This window comes from Homo sapiens, chromosome 7 (genome assembly GCF_000001405.40).
Source record: "Homo sapiens chromosome 7, GRCh38.p14 Primary Assembly".
In the NCBI taxonomy this organism is placed as follows: domain Eukaryota; kingdom Metazoa; phylum Chordata; class Mammalia; order Primates; family Hominidae; genus Homo; species Homo sapiens.
This window is the reverse complement of record NC_000007.14, coordinates 125233209-125248038: the sequence shown is the minus strand read 5'-3', so window position 1 is coordinate 125248038 and position 14830 is coordinate 125233209. Positions and strand designations below refer to the sequence as shown.

The 14830-nt window shown below is 36.1% G+C and overlaps 2 long non-coding RNA genes across 3 annotated transcripts in view, besides 1 other annotated feature; one reads left to right on the top strand and one right to left on the bottom strand.

Annotated features, from left to right (window-relative positions):
- Positions 1 to 14830, bottom strand: part of LOC101928283 (uncharacterized) — a 194753-nt gene that overhangs the window by 131283 nt on the left and 48640 nt on the right. The gene's annotated exons all lie outside the window — the stretch shown is intronic.
- LOC101928254 (uncharacterized) overlaps positions 1 to 14830 on the top strand; it is a 34713-nt gene that overhangs the window by 16253 nt on the left and 3630 nt on the right. The window contains exon 4 of one of the 2 annotated variants that reach the window (NR_110182.1): positions 1509 to 1695. The exons of the other annotated variant lie outside the window; for it this stretch is intronic. This is a non-coding gene — a long non-coding RNA (uncharacterized LOC101928254). The remainder of the gene's footprint in view (positions 1 to 1508; positions 1696 to 14830) is intronic. 2 annotated transcript variants of the gene reach the window in all.
- Positions 890 to 1184: an enhancer, noted in NCBI's record as "tiled region #1923; K562 Activating non-DNase unmatched - State 6:EnhF". NCBI's record gives its function as "activates a minimal TATA promoter and a strong SV40 promoter by Sharpr-MPRA in K562 cells {active_cell/tissue: K562}" and the evidence as "EXISTENCE:reporter gene assay evidence [ECO:0000049][PMID:27701403]".

The window sequence follows — 14830 nt, the reverse complement described above, 5'->3', positions numbered from 1 at the left end:
GAAGATGTTTATATTTATAGTGAGGGCCAGCCATCATTTTAAAGGGAGCTATGTTACCATGGGACATGTCTACCATGGTCAGGGATCCTGTCCTGCCTATCACTTCCGGATTTCTGAGGTTTGAATTGCATCTGCAATAGCTGCCAATTTCTCTTCCTCTGTTCACATATTTATTGCTATTACCTTGTGATAGTTGGGCAAAGCCTACTGACCCTGTCTCACAATATTGATTTTAGCTGTATTAAATTAAATACACAGGATTATAAAGGAAATCAATCATTGAAATGTAGTTTCATCTGTCTTCTCAGGACTCTGATGTAGACCTACATTATCAGCACTTCATGGATGATTTCTAAATTGTAGTAGAAGACTCCTCTGACCCTTGGCTCAAGTAGATATATATGTATTGTAAAGAATATTTATGACCATATTGTGCAGTGTGTTTATAAAAATTGGTCCCTCAGGCTACAAAAGCCTGGATGTATAGTCAGTGTACAAGCAAATTTAAAATGCCTTACTTTGTATCTGGGCTCAAGGAATCCCAACCCAATCCAGCCCATTCATTTACTTTGATTCAGTGGTTGATATTGTGGGTCACAGGAAGTCCTTATATTTTTGTAAAAGCTGTCATTCTCTGGGTCTCATATGTATTGGAATGCAGCACCAAATGAGCTGTCATGTTAGTTCTGCAAGGATGCTGGTTATAAGGAGGGATAATTTCTGTTATGGTCACTGCAGGTGCTGAATTCCTACAGCTGTATCTGTTTCACTGATCCTAAGGCTAGCAAACCCTGTGTTCTGCTGGACTGGAGTTGCTAGAATGGTTCACACACCACTCCTCACATAGAGGTGCTGTGCCCTTTCCCACATTTCCCTTCTCCTCACCCCACATCAAAAACTCACTCAAAGAAGTCACATTGCACACACCTAGACTCCAGGTCAGACCATATCTGCCCATAGACTTGAGCTTTTTTTGTTATTGTAGACTTGATTCTGTTTTCTGGGGTCTTGTTTTTGTTGTTGTTGTTTAACTTCTGGCACCTTCACAGATCAGGAAGCAATGTTTGTTCTTCTTCCCCACTGTCCTCCACGGAACTCCTCCATACTGTCTCCCAGAAGCCTGTTTTTATGCTTACTCATTGTAGTTATTGGTCAGCTCCTTCTCTCAACACTCAAGCAGCAAACTAGATTCAAAACTAATTTTTCATGGCATTTGAGACTAAATAGCTAAGTTTGAGTTGGATAATCTCACATACTATGATCAACTCTTGCTTTATCTGCCAGTTCTCCTCACACCAAGTCTTTTTTTCCTTTCTTTTTTTTTTTTTTTTTTTTTTTGAGGCAGGGTCTCACTCTGTCACCCAGGCTGGAGTCTGTCACACGATCACAGTTCACTGCAGCCTTTACCTACTGGGCTCAAATGATCCTCCCACCACAGCCTCCTGAGTAACTGAGACCACAGGCATCTGCCACCACACCTGTTTTTTTGTTTGGTTGTTTGTTTGTAGAGATGGCATTTCACCATGTTGCCTGGGTTGGTCTCAAACTCCTGAGCTGAAAGTGATCCTCCCACCTTTGCCTCTCAGTGTTGGGATTACAGAAATGAGCCACCACACCTGGCCCACAGACACCTTCTAATATGCTTATGTGCATGTCCACATTAGTGAATGGAAGAATGCTTTCTTCTGTCTCTATGTGAGTATCTACTATTGGAATTGTAAAGATTGGAATATATATGTGTATTTGTAAGGATTTTTTTCTTTATAGATATATGAGGATCATAAAGAAGACATGCGCATCTTTTTCTGGGTAACTGTGTCTCTGCTAGAGTGCCTCTGGGCACGCACATAAAAACTAGCATGCTTTAAAATCATTCTCATTGAGAAATGAAACAGAAAACTGAAGGAAGAACAGAGCTTCTGAACATAGAATAAGAAAGCAAGCCAGTACTTTGGAGTCAGATGATCCTGAGATCTCCTTCATCTACTAAGTGCTATGTAGCCTCAAAAGGTTATTCAGGGCTTCAAATTACCTGCAGATAAAATATACATATAATTATTTGAGGATGAAATACTTGGCACAGTGTAGGGAATCAATCTATATAATCAATAAATGGAAACTTCCTACCTCAGTCAGCAAGTGTTGCTTTTTAAGATCTTAAATGCTTAGTGATCAAATTTGTATAAGTCCATAAAGATAGCAACTGTTATTGAGTTCTTAATATATAGGAGGTGTTCTCCTCAGTGCTCCAAATCTTTTATATTGTTTGATATATGTAAAAATCTATAAGATAGGTATTTCTGTTATTTGTACTTTGCAAGTGAGTAACCTGAGGCCCAGAGACAGTAACACGATGAAGATGACAGAATAACAAGCAGAGGAGCTGGGTTTGAGCCACAGCAGTCTGGATCCAGAGCACATGCACTCTTACACTCTTACTCTATATACCAAACTACCTCTTACAAAGGAGGCAGAATTGACACGACTTGGCAGGATGCAGAAGATAGAGATGCTTTCCTACAGACCCAGTTTTGGTGAATTAAGGAGTAAAATAGTCTCTTCTTAGAGAATAGTGAGTCTGTATCACACAAGAATCAGGACTGTTTGAGTAAGATCTTAGGGGCTCACTCTGTGTTCCTTAAACAAAGGGCTAGCTGGATTTCAGGAGACTTATTTTCTCAGCTAGAGAGCAAACCAAACTCAGTTTTTCATAGGATCAGTGGTGCCCTCCTTTTGGCATGTAGCATCCCAAGGACTTTGTTTCTCAGCTGTCCCTTGATCAACAGGTGCAGGTTACCTGGCTTTCCCAGACACTCTGTTAGCAAGCAACACCCTTTAATAGAAATTATCTATGCCAAACAGCCTATTTATTTTCTCCTGTGCAGATCTGTTCTTTGAATGTCTTCTATATGAAGAGATCCACAGGTGGAAGTAGTATTAGAATGAATCTCACACTCCATGGTATGATGGGAAACTTGGGACTGCTTCTATTCTCTGCCTTGTTGATTCCAACCACAGAGATGATCCGTTAGACCACACCTGGCCACATCCTATGCACAACAGGTGACACTTCTGAAAATATCCACAATGCATGAGAGTTTATCAGCAATATAAGAAAAGAGAAGACAGTTCTCTTTAGCCACTGAGTGGCTGAAATGACCTGCTTATGTGAGCAGGTTGATGATGATGATAGGACCACATCACTTTGCAGTATAAAAACCATTTCCCCATCTATTATGATATTTTATCTTCAGGGAATGCAATGCAAATTATTCACATATAACAGCTGAGAGAACTAGGACACTAAGAAATAGAGACATTTCCAAGTTTGACTGCTAGTAAATTCAAGAATCAGCACAAGCCTTCTGATTATATTATATCATGATGCCTGAGAAATATCAGGCAATTAATTCAAAACTATCAACTCAAAATATCAGTTTAGAGATGGGTCCCAGATAAATGGGAATCCTGTGTGCAATGAATTATAATATTAGCTAAACATAAACAAGATATACATAAATTATAACTAGTCAGGGCAAATTGCAACTTAAATGCTGTATGTTTCCTCTGTACCAGTAAAAATATGAAGGTCAGCTGAACTGAGAAACCTTTCCATTAGAGCGTATTTGAATGCTGTTTAGCATAATTCTGCTACCAGCATTATTTTTCTTTCCTGTCAGATTGACTACTATTTTTTAGTTACCAAGATAATTTGATAGTCATCTAATTAAATAAAAGGAACAAAAAGGAACAAACACAGTACTGTTTTCCCCAAAACCAATGTTCTTTAATTGCTCATTGTTCTTTATCTTTGTAGTCAATGTAAAGAGTTGCCTCTAAGTGGACCTTTTTATAGGTACATATCTTCTCAGCCAGGTTCTCCATCTTGGCACAAAAAGGCTGCATACACAAATTGAACATGAAGTTAATGCCAATGGTATGGACAGTAGTTTTATAAAAACTGAAGTACTTTATCATGCCGTTGTTGCTTGTGTCATTCTCTTTGCCACACATAGACTTTTTTTTTTTTTTTTTTTTTTTTGAGATGGAGTCTCACTCTGTCACCCAGGCTGGAGTGCAGTGGCTCGATCTTGGCTCACTGCAAGCTCCGCCTTCCGGGTTCACGCCATTCTCCTGCTTCAGCCTCCCAAGTAGCTGGGACTACAGGCACCCGCCACCACGCCCAGCTAATTTTTCGTTTTTTGTTTTTTGTTTTTTTAGTAGAGATGGGGTTTCACCGTGTTAACCAGGATGGTCTCGATCTCCTGACCTCGTGATCCGCCCGCCTCGGCCTCCCAAAGTGCTGGGATTACAGGTGTGAGCCACCACACCCATCCTCACAAAGACTTTTAGTCAGTATTGAAACAATTGCCAAAAACTGCTAAAACTCACGTCTGAGTACTTTTGATCCCTTGGACACTAACATTTTAACTGGACATCAGTGAAGACCACTGACTTTTTAAGGTTCATCACAAGGGACTGAGTCTGATATCATCTAGCCTTTAAGCCTTCACCACATGTAAATAATGACTCTCCTTGTGTGCATTTCTCTACTGGATTTGAAGGGGTCAACACATTTTCACAGGAATAACTAGTCAGGAAAGTAAAAAGTGATGCATTTCTAACACAGATTAGTTTACTCTTGAAATCCTGCGATGATACTTTCTCTGCCATCAGCGAAATACTATACGATCTTTTACACTGACATAGAAAAAATGTTTTTTAGTAACTCATTTATTCATTGAGCTACCCTTTATATATAACACTATGTATATTGTTTATATGTATGTTATTTATATTTTATATCTATATTATATGCCACTTTTGTTGAAAGAGTTTGAATTCTGGATACTCTATAACTGGTTCACTGGATTCTACTGATGATCCAACAACATATATTTTGAAATAAATAGCATGAGTCCCAGATTGACATTATTATCTTTTAAAGAGGAAATAACAATAAAATATTAGTATGTTATGGCCAGGCATGGTGGCTCATGCCTGTAATCCCAGCACTTTGGGAGACCAAGGCAGGCAGATCACCTGAGGTCAGAAGTTCGAGACCAGCCTGGCCAACATGGCGAAACACCATCTCTACTTAAAATACAAAAATTAGCTGGGCATGGTGGTGGGTGCCTGTAATCCCAGCTATTCGGGAGGCTGAGGCAGGGAGAATTGCTGGAACCCAGGAGGCGGAGGTTGCAGTGAGCCGAGATCGCACCACTGCACTCCAGCCTGGGCGACAGAGCGAGATTCTGTCTCAACAACAACAACAACAACAAAAGAATTGGTTTCTAGTATAAAGTTTTCCACCCTGCCTTTCAACGTTAGAGTTATCCATATTGATATATCCAAATGAGTTTTTTTAAATAATATGGGAATAATCAGTTAATATTTATCAAAGTCTTCTTGGGTAAATAAAATGTATGACTGAATTTGATTGAAGAAGTACATTATTATTTGAACTCTTTTTTATATTCTGATATTTGTAATTCTACTGTATCTGATGTATAGTCAGCCTTCTGTTGCCTTAAATCCAGAGACAGCAAATAACCGTCTTGTATCAGACAAATATACTATCCTAGGTATTAAAATTCAGTGATGATTTAAGACTCTTCACTGATAAATAAAAATAGCTGATGACTGTGCATTTCATTTGATTTTGCATATATTCAGCTTATTGTTTTTGTTTTTAAGGCAAAAACAGATTCAAGGTAAGTGGTTTAGTGTAGGAGTCCTTTTAAATTGGATTAGTCAGAATGAGGAAATTTCCCAAATGTCATATTTCTAAAAGCATCATCCTCTTTCTCTTTTATACACTACTTTTTCTTAAAGAGCCCTCCTCCAACTGATTTAAAAGTGCAAAAATTTCACTATTATTATTGCTTTACTCCTTTAACCTCTGTTAAAGCAAATTCCCTTTGATAGAATAATAATTAAAGTGATTAATGTTAATAAGCTCCTCAAAGTGTTTCCACAGTGATGGTTTTCATAAGGGAAAAAGAGAAAATATAAATCAAGAAATAAGTATAAAATGAAGACAGACTTCACTTATTTGACTTTTCCCCGGGGTCATCTCTAGAAACTCAGAAAGTAAAATACACAGCACAGTACAGTAGATCTTGTGAGCAAAAGGGATGACTCCCAATCATGGACATAAACATGTAGTGGATTTTCTGTCCTATGGAATTGCAAATCATCTGTGTAACATATAGAACAGTATAGTAACCTGAAAGAACACATACTTTTAGAAACTCAGAAAATCCTACTTTGAGAACTGAAAGTGAAACAAATGAAAATTGATTGACATTAATATTGAAACTACACACACAAACACTGAAAATCCTCAACAAACATTCTGAAAGATTACTAACATAAAGTGTAATCTGATGTTCAGTTGGGATTTATCTGCCATGAGATCATTTTAAAGAGAGCCTCTGACAATCAAAAAATAATATAGAAAAATAAAGAGAGTCCAGCAAATAAGTATATATTTATCCAACACCCTTGGATGGCATTGGATGAATAAGGAAAATGAGAATTTTTCCTTAAATGACATGAAAGTGGGACAACTATCCCAATTCTAAGGGTGCTTTACAGCTTAAATAATCTGGCATCTCCATGATGCACCTACAATTCTGAAATAATTATCCATGGGGGCTCAAAGCTCATTAACTAGACTATACCAGCATGTGGTGAAATACCCCAGGGCTAAATGAATTTCTTCAGACTAAAAGAAAATGACTACTAGAAAGAAAAATCATATGGTCAGGAATAATTAATTTCAGAAATCATAAATATGTGAGAGAGTATGAAACAGCATTTTTCTTTATGCAAAATACATATAATGGCTTAAAAATTATAACTTTGACTCTGGGTTTCTAATACATGTAATTATTACATGAATATGCCTTAGAGATATCACAGGTTTGGTTCCAGACCATCACAATGAAGCAAGTCACATAAACTTTTTGGTTTCCTAGTGTATATAAAAATTATGTTTATATTAGAGTGTAGTCTATTAAGTGTGCAATAGCATTGTGTCTAAAAACAATGTACATACCTTAATTAAAGAATTTAGGGGCTGGCTGCAGTGGCTCATGCCCGTAATCCCAGCACTTTGGGAGGCCTAGGCGGGCGGATCACGAGGTCAGGAGTTCGAGACCAGCCTGGCCAATATGGTAAAACCCCATCTCTAATAAAAATACAAAAATTAGCTGGGTGTGGTGGCGTGCACCTGTAGTCCCAGCTACTTGGGAGGCTGAGGCAGGAGAATTGCTTCAACCTGGCAGGCGGAGGTTGTAGGGAGCTGAGATCACACCACTGCACTCCAGCCTGGGCAACAGAGCAAGACTCTGTCTCAAAATAATAATAATAATTATAAAAATAATAATAATTTATTGCTAAAAATGCTAAGCATCACCCGAGTCTTCAGTGAGTTAAAATATTTTTGTTGGTGGAGGGTATTGCCTCAAGTTAATGACAGCTGATGAATCAGGGTGATGGTTGCAGAAAGTTGAGGTGGCTGTAGAAATTTCTTAAAATAAAACAATAAAATTAGCTGCATTGATTGACTCATCGTTTCACAAAAGATTTCTCTAAGCATGTGATGTTCTTTAATAGCAGTTTACCTACAGTATTAACTTCTTTCAAAATTAGAGTAAATCCTCTCAAACCTTGCTGCTGCTTTATCAACTAAATTAATCTAAAATTCTGAATTATTTGTTGTCATTTTAACAATGCTACAGCATCTTCATTAGAAGTAGTTTCTATCTCAAGAAACTACTTTTTTTGCCCATCCATAAGAAATAATTCATCATCCATTAAGTTTTTTCAGGAGATTGTGGTAATTCAGTCACATCATCAACTCGATTTCTAATTTTAGTTCTCTTGCTATTTCTACCATATCAGCAGTTACTTCCTCCACTGAAGTTTTGAATGCTTCAAAGTCAACTAGGAAGGTTAGAATCAACTTCTTCCAAACTTCTGTTAATGTTGATACTTTGACCTCCTCGCACAAATAGTGAATGTTCTTGAAGGCATCTAGAATAGTACATTCTTTCTAATGGATTTTCAATTTATTCTACCCAGATTGACTGCAGGAATAACTATCTATGACAACTGTAGCCTTACAAAATGTATTTCTTAAATCATAAGATTTGAAAGTCAAAATTACTCTTTGATCCATGGACTACAGAATAAATGTTTTGTTAGCTTACATGAAAATTGATTGCCTTGTAAATATCCATCAAAGCTCTTGGGTGACTAGGCACATTGTTAATGAGCAGTAATATTTTGAAAGGAGTCTTTTTTACAGAGTAGTAGGTTTCAACAGTGGGATTAAAATATTTAGAAAACCATCCTGTAAACCAATGTGCTGACATCCAGGCTTTGTTGTTCTATTTACTGAGCACAGGTAGTGTCAATTTAGTGTAATTCTTATCAGCCTTAGGGTTTTTCAGAATGGTAAATGAATGTTAGCTTCAACTTAAAGTTACCAGCTTCATTATACTCTAACAAGAGTACCAGTGCCCTTTGAAGGTTTGAAGCCAATCATTGTCTTCTCCTCTCTAGCTATGAAAGTCCCAGAAGGCATCTTCTTTCAATGGAAGGCTGTTTGACTGCATTGAAAATCTGTTATTTAGTGTGTCCAGCATCATTATTGCTGTTAGCTGGATCTTCTGGGTAACTTGCTCTAGCTTTTACATCAGCACTTGCTGCTTTACCTTGTGCTTTTATGTTATTGAGACAACTTCTTTCCTTAAACCTCATGAATCAACTTTTGGTCACTTCATACTCTTATTCTCCAACTTCCTCGCCTCTCTCAGCCTTCACAGAATTGAAAAGCGTTACGGCCTTGTTCTAGAATAGGCTTTGTCTTAAGGAAATGATGGTTTGATCTTCTATTCAGTCCACTCAAACTTTCTCCATATCAACAATAAGGCTACTTCACCTCCTTATCATTTGTTTGTTCACTGAAGTGAAATTTCAGTAGATGATTAAAATTTAAGGATACATTTTGTAATCCCTAAAGGAAGTTGGATATTCTAAAGAATATCTACTATAAATTGAAGGAAAGATACATAATTAAAAAGTCAATACATTAATTGAAATGTAACTGCTAAAAATTCAAAATCAGAATAAAAAAGGAAGATGGGAACAGAAGAGAGAAAAAAAGAGAACACACTGAAGATCAAAATAAAATAATAGATACAAATCCAGCCATCCTTATGATTATATCATAAATGTAAATGAAATAAATTAGGTAAACAAAAAGGAAATAAAGGTAAATAACATTCTATTTATGGGAAATGTAACTAAATATACTGATACATTGTAGAGGAGGAGATGGATAAAGATAAAACATGCAAAGAATAAAATACAAAGCTGGAGATAAAATTGACTTCAAGAAAAAGTGTATTGGCAAAGATAATAAGAAACATTTTTAATGATGAAATGTTCAATTCAGTAGGAACACATAACAATTGTGAAAGTATAAACATCTAAGAACAGAGCCTCAACGTGCATGTAGCATAATTTGAATTAAAGGCATAGAGAATTCTACCATTAAGAAAGATTTTAATACCCTTCTCTGAAATACAGTAGAATAAGGAAACAAAAAATTAATACAGAAATAAGTAATCTGAATAGTACTACCCACCACGATCTAATTAATATTTATATAACACTGTACCCTAAATTTGCAGAATAAATATTATTTTCTTCTGCACATGGCAGATGCACCAAAATATATATGTTAGACATAAACAAAATTAAGATTGGAAAGGTTGTGATTATGCAGAATATATTTTAGGGCCATAAAATATTTAAAATAGAAATTAACCACAATAGGTTATCTGTCAAACCCCTAAATATTAAAAAATTAAACAAACATTTCTAAATAATTCATGTGTCAGAGTAACATGTTACTATGAAAATTAGAAAGCACTTTAAACTTAATGAAAACCAAATAGAAGTGTGGGATATAGTTAAAGCAATACTTATCAGACAACTTACATTATTAAATGCTAATACTAGAATATAACTTTTATAAAAGTTAACAACAAATAACTAAGATTCTACCACACCATACTAGAGAAAAAAAAATAGAAAAAAGAAACATGGAAATAACAGCAGAAATCAATAAACATCAGAACAGGAAAAAAAAAAATAGAGAAAGTCAAAGCCAAAAGCTGGCAACATGAAATGATCAACAAACAGTGAGAGAACAATAATAATCAATTTGAGGACAGAAAAAAGAAATATCCCAGGACATCCTATAGATGTTATAGTTCTTGACTTAACGTCTGTTCTATATAATTATTTTCCATCTTAGTTCATTTTCACTTTAAGAAAACGATCCAAAATCTGTTTTCTATCCATGACCTTGACTTGACCTTATATTTTTATGTTTAATTTCTTTCTCCATGGCTTTACTTGAAACACTCTTGCTCAGCCATAGTTTTCTACCTAGGCAATATTCAGATTCTCTATTCTTTTTTTTTTTTTTTTTTTTTTGAGATGAAGTCTTGCTCTTGTTCCCCTGGCTGGAGTGCGATGGCACGATCTCAGCTCACTGCAACCTCCGCCTCCCAGGTTCAAGCAATTCTCCTACCTCAGCCTCCCGAGTAGCTGGGATTACAGGCACCTGCCACCATGCCCAGCTAATTTTTTTAAATATATATTTTTAGTAGAGATGAGTTTCACCATGTTGGCCAGGCTGGTCTTGAACTCCTGACCTCCGGTGATCCCCCCACCTTGGCCTCCCAAAGTGCTGGAATTACAGGCATGAGCCACAGTGCCCGGGTGAGATTCTCTATTCTTTATCCTATAAATATAGCTATGGTCATTGAAGTGGTAAAAGGGTGATGAAAGACGTTGCACTGTCTATCACTAATTACCAGTAATGTTTGAAACACTGAGCAATTTTCTGGAAATATTCAAAACATACCTCATATTATAAGTATCCCAGTAGAAAGAAAGAGGGGATTTAAAAAGTCCTTTTGAGGGTGATTCACTTATAAAAAATGCATAAATATGGGTTGTAGTTGTTCTAAAAAATATCAGTCCTATAAATTTCAATTTAATAGAAGAAATTGGGACTGCTATTTATTTTTACCTCTTTATCCTTGAAATTCTGTATCTGGTATATAACAGAAGAGCTTCACAATTACAACCAATGTATTTGTGCAATGAGTAAAATAAAGGGGGTCTAAATGCCAGAGGGATTGTGTACTATGTTGATCATAACATTATGAATTAGGTTTTAAATCTGTAAAAGTTTTAAGCACACAAATGCTATTCATTATGAAAAACAGAGGGATTTTAGAAATATATTATATTCAGATGTGTCTTTTTTAGGTCAGGCTTTTATTTAAAACCTGGAGAGGTAGAGGGTTTATAGTGGAATGTCCTATGTATAAATAGTACTGCATTTGAAAATACATTATTTTTGAGGAAATTCTCCAAAAACATTTTAAAATTAAAAAATAAGATTTGTTTTTTGAAAGCAACATAAAATTTCATGAATTAGAAAATGTTCGAGGGGGAAGTACTCTTAAATCTTCCTGTTTGTTCGATGAACAGAATCAGATAATGTTTCACAGAAAATATTACTCACTAATGCTAAAATTAATTAGCTTTTAAAAAACACACAAATAGTATCTAGATATAAGGAATCATTTATTTATAATAACTGCTAAAGAGCATAAAGGGAAAAAATGTTAGAAACTTTTTATCATGACAATAACCCTTCATCATACAATTTCTCTGATATGAAGAGTCAGTAATGGAAATGAAACACTCATTTGCTTTGCATAAAAATAGTAATTTATTCTAAAACAGGGAAGTATAAAATGAAATTAGAGGTATGTAGGTGAACTGCTAAGTGGCTGAACTGATCAAGGTTTAATTATAAAGTACTAATATGGATTTATAGATTCAATCTAATTTATTCCTGTAACAGAAGTATTTTCCATGAGAGAGGCACTTTGCAACATGGGTTATACTAAAACTAGTAAGTATGGTTTCTGCTTTAATATGAAATAGTATAAAAAGTAATTTGTAGGTGATCCCAAGGAAATAAGAAAAAGCCTTTGCATTACATTGAGTAATAGAATGGAGAAAGGCTGAAATCTTGGCAATAATAATTCTAACAATAATAATGAATATGGACCAGAGTTTGGACCTATTTGCCTTCAGATCCATTCTTTGCCCTTCTCTCTGAACACTCTGTACAACTGGCAAGCTGATTTCATGAGCTGGATTTTTAAGGTTCTCTTATCACTTGACTTCTAGTTAGGTTCCTTGAAGGGGAGGATAGAAGGTGAAAAGATGAGAGAAAGCAGGGTATTTGTGGTCCATCTTGTCATCAACATCAGGCAGTGCCTCCATCTCCTTCAAGGCAGCAGCTTCCAATCATGTGACTTTGCCCCTGAGCTCTCATGTTGCCTGATCTCTTTGTCCAGAATGCCTAGAGGTGGTAGCGGCATCCTGCTGTTGCTCATTTATGGATTGCCTCACCACAGTTTTTTTCAGCTTTTCCACCACTTGTGTAAAAAGCTGTATACATCAAAACAGAGGGTTTACTGTCTTTCTCATTAGACACTGAGGATATAAACACCATAGTTATGAACCAAATATTTGTGTTCCCCTAAAATTCACATGTTGAAATCTTAATCCCCAATGTGATGGTATGTGGGAGTTAATGAGTTCATGAGGGTGGAGCCCTTATGAATGGGATTAGCGCCCTTATAAGAACAGACAAGAAAGCTCTCTCTCTCTCTCTCTCTCTCTCTCTCTCTCTCTCTCTCTTTCTCTCCTCTCCACCATATGAGGACACAAAGAGAAGAAGGTGTTATACATATCAGAAATACTTCCTAATCAGACACCATGTCTGTTGGCATCTTCTCTCGGACTTCTCAGTCTCCAAAACCATAAGAAATAAATTTATGTTGTTTAAGCCACCTCATCTATGGTAGTTTCTTATAGCACCTTGAACTGATTAAAATGACTAGCAAGTTTTACTGGGTGCTAGGCACCATAAAAATGATTTATATATGATGCTGCATATATTGCTTACAACAACCATAAATATAGATAATATTAGTAGAATCATTTGGTAGATGAGAAAACTTTAAAGTTATTCAATAATTTTCACCATGTCACACAACTATAAGTGTCAGAGTGAGAATGTGAATTCAGACAGACTCTAAATTTAATGCTCCTGACCACCAGAATACTAAATAAAAATCACCCCTGTCACCTGTAATTATCTCCAATACAAATAAGTCCAAGCTGACCAAATCTCCGAAAGATGAATCTGGTTCAAATACGTATTAATATCCAAGAAGGTAGGGCAAAGCACTAAGGCTGCAATTCATTAATATCCTATGAAAAAATTCACTGCCTTCATGAATTAGCTTACAAACTATTAGAGAGTAAAAGATTACAAATAAATAAATCATATAAATATAGTATCATGGTATTATCTAGAATTAAGTCCTATCATATAAAGTAAAAAAAAATGGGAAGAAATATGAGAAGTCTCAGAAAAGGGTTTGGAATTTTAAATGAAAAGGTTCTATGTTAGGAATATTCTTCCAACTAGTTCCTTTCCTCTTTCTCCTGGTCCATATCCCACCTCTCAGAACTTCATTTCAATCCCATTTTTAGACATGGATGAAATATCATACTACAGGTTATAGGATATGGCTTACTGACCAGTCACCCAGAGGCTGGACATCATCACACAGAAGTGAAAGAGGTGATTATTTCCAAATGTTCTGCATCATGTGATCTCATGGGAAGCAGGAGGCAGGAAAGCACTAGGCAAATAGCCTCCCTCCGTTTCCTCTCTAGTGAACTACTCTGATGTAAAATTTCTCCATTCCATGTTTTCAAAAATTGTTACGTGGCAAGTGAAAAACTGTACTGTCTCTTGTGTTACTATGCCTCCTGGTGAGCAGATACGCAGAGAGAGATACATTGCATTATTTTACTTGGCATCTTCCTTTCCTTTGCTGCCGTGTTTTCATCACCCACATACTCTATGTGTGTTTCTCTTAAGTAAAGTATTAGCGCTTAGGTGTTTCCATGGACTCAGTTGAAAGAAACCGAGGTTACACTATCACATAATTAAAAATTTGGAGGGAGGCAGCTAACAATCACCAGATCTCTGTCTCGGAGATGTCACAGATGCATCCCTGATGTTATCTTGACCTTTTACTAAAATCCAAATGAAGGCTAAAGCTCTTCTCATTGTATTTAAGTTTGTAGCAGGAAGAAGAGGAATGGAAACACCACCAATTGGGTTTCTCTTTTCATCATGAAAGAAAGAACTTCCCACAAGTTCCAACAACACAATTCCAGTTAACATTTCATCTTTAAAACTGTACTTGGCAAGTCTTGCCTTTAAAAGAGGCTAGAAAAGTAAATATTTAGCAGCGCTGGTCTTTTTAATGAAAGGGTGTAAGGAAGAAGAGGTCTGGGAGTATACTGGCCAGTGGTAGAATCCACCACATTCATTAGTAGGAGCTCCAACAGCATAGTATAGAAGGAATGTCACAGAACCGATTCTTGTAAAAATAATGACTGAAATCATTCAGCACTTAGTAAAGATATGAATTATCACATTAAAATATGCCATTTATTCCCAAGCAAAACGAATAAAAAGAGTCCATATATAATTAATAGTTAAAATAACCCTCACAAAAGCAAATAAAAAGTATTGAAGCCGGTCACAGTGGCTCACACCTGTAATCCCAACACTTTTGGAGGCTGAGGCAAGCAGGTCACTTTAGTCCAGAAGTTCAAGACCAGCCTGGGCAAC